A 2,127-nucleotide genomic window follows, 5' to 3' on the forward strand; every position below is an offset into this window, starting at 1 on the left:
CACCAGCATTTGTTCTTTTTTGATTTTTTAGTAATGGTCACTCTGACTGGTGTGAGATGGTATCTCATTATGGTTTTGATTTGCATTTCTCTAATGGTTAGTGATGATGAGCATTTTTTTCATATATTTATTGTCTACATGTATGTATTCTTTTGAGAAGTATCTGTTCATATCCTTTGGGCATTTTTAAATGGAATTATTTGTTATTTGTTTGTTGATTTAAGTTCCTCATAGATTCTGGATATTAGACCTTTGTTGGATGCATAGTTTATGAATACTTCCTCTCAATCCATAGGTTGTCTGTTTACTCTGCTTATAGTTTCTTTTTTTGTGCAGAAGCTCGTGAGTTTACTTAGGACATACTTGCCAATTTTTTATTTTGTTGCAATTGCCTTTGGAGACTTTGTCATAAATTCCTTGCCAAGGCGAATATACAGAATGGTATTTCTTAGGTTTTCTTCTAAACTTTTTATTGTTTTTGGTTTTACATTTAAGTCTTTAATCCATCTTGAGTTGATTTTTATATATGGTGCAAAAAAAGTGGTCTGATTTCAATCTTCTGTAAATAGCTAGCCAATTATTCCAGCACCATTTATTGAATATGGAGTCTTTTCCCCATTGTTTGTTATTGATGACTTTGTTGAGAGTCAGGTGGTTGTAGGTGTATGGTTCTATTTCTGGGTTCTCTACCCTGTTCCATTAGTCTTTATATCTGCTTTTGTACCAGCCCAATGTTGTTTTGCTTACTGTAGCCTTGTAGTATTGTTTGAAGTAGGGCAATGTAATGCCTCTAGCTTTGTTTTTGTTGCTTAGGATTGCATTGGTGATTTGGTCTCTTTTTGGTTCCATATGAATTTTAGAATAGCTGCTTCTAATTCCGTGGTATAAGAATAGTCACTCATTTTTGTCTTCCATTGCCTGAGAGATCCTTCTCCATCCTTTTACTTTGAGCATACGGGTGGCATTACTTGTTAGATAAGTCTCTTGAAGACAGCAGATAACTGTGTTGTGTCTTTATCCAACTTGCTACTCCATGCCTTTTAAGTTAGGCATTTAGTCAATGTACATTCAGTGTCAGTATTAACATGTGAAGATTTGATCTTGCCATTGTGGTGTTAGCTGGTTGTTATGTAGACTATTCTATAGTTGCTTTGTAATGTCAATGGGCTGTGTACTTGCTTTGTAATGTCAATGAGCTGTGTACTTAAATGTTTTTGTAATGGTAGTTATCTTCTTTCATTTCCATGTTTAGCACTCCCTTTGTCACCTCTTGTAAGGCAGGTCTATTGGTAATAAATTCCCTTAGCATTTGTGTGTCTGAAAAGGATTTCATTTCTCCTTTGTTTATGAAACTTAGTTTGGCAGGATATGAAATTCTTGGTTAGAATTTATTTTCTTAAGGACATTGAAAATAGGACCTCAGTCTCTTCTGGCTTGTAAGGTTTCTGCTGAAGGGTCTACTGTTAGGCTGATGAAGTTCCCTTTGTAAATGACCTACCCCTTCTCTCTAGCTGCCTTTAAGCTTTTTCTTTCACATTGACCTTGGAGAATCTGATGACTATGTGTCTTGGGGATTGTCATCTTGAGTAGATAACATCTTACAGGGGTTCTTTGTATTTCTTGAATTTTCATGTCAACCTCTCTAGTGAGATTGCAAAAATTTCTGTGAAACAAACTTTCAAATATGTTTTTCAAGTTGCTTGCTTTTTCTCCTTTTCTTTCAGGAATGCCAATGAGTCATAGGTTTGCTCTCTTTATATAATCCTATATATTAGAGGTTTTGTTCATTTGTTAATTAATTTTTTGTCTGCCTGTGTTGCTTTGAAGGAGTGTTCTTCAAGCTCTGAGATTCTTTCCTCAGCTTGGTCTTTTCTATTGTTCATGCTCCAATTGTATTTTGAAGTTTCTATGGTGAATTTTTCATTTCCAGAAGTTGCTTTTTTTAAATGATTATGTCATCTTTCAACTCTTGGATTATTTTACTGTTTTCCTTGTATTGGGTTTCAGCCTTCTCTTTGTCCTGATAATCTTCCTTGCCATCCAGATTCTGAATTCTATGTCTGACATTTTAGCCATTTCAATCTGGTTAAAAAATCATTGCTTGGGGGCTGGTGTGATCATTTGGAG

The 2,127-nt window shown here is 34.9% G+C and overlaps 1 annotated feature.

Moving 5' to 3' along the window:
* Positions 809-1,670: an enhancer, noted in NCBI's record as "OCT4-NANOG hESC enhancer chr18:57986175-57987036 (GRCh37/hg19 assembly coordinates)". NCBI's record gives its function as "activates a minimal SCP1, AML or CMV promoter by ChIP-STARR-seq in primed H9 embryonic stem cells {active_cell/tissue: H9 hESC(primed)}" and the evidence as "EXISTENCE:reporter gene assay evidence [ECO:0000049][PMID:30033119]".

The sequence above is a fragment of the Homo sapiens genome, chromosome 18 (assembly GCF_000001405.40).
Source record: "Homo sapiens chromosome 18, GRCh38.p14 Primary Assembly".
Lineage (NCBI taxonomy): Eukaryota > Metazoa > Chordata > Mammalia > Primates > Hominidae > Homo > Homo sapiens.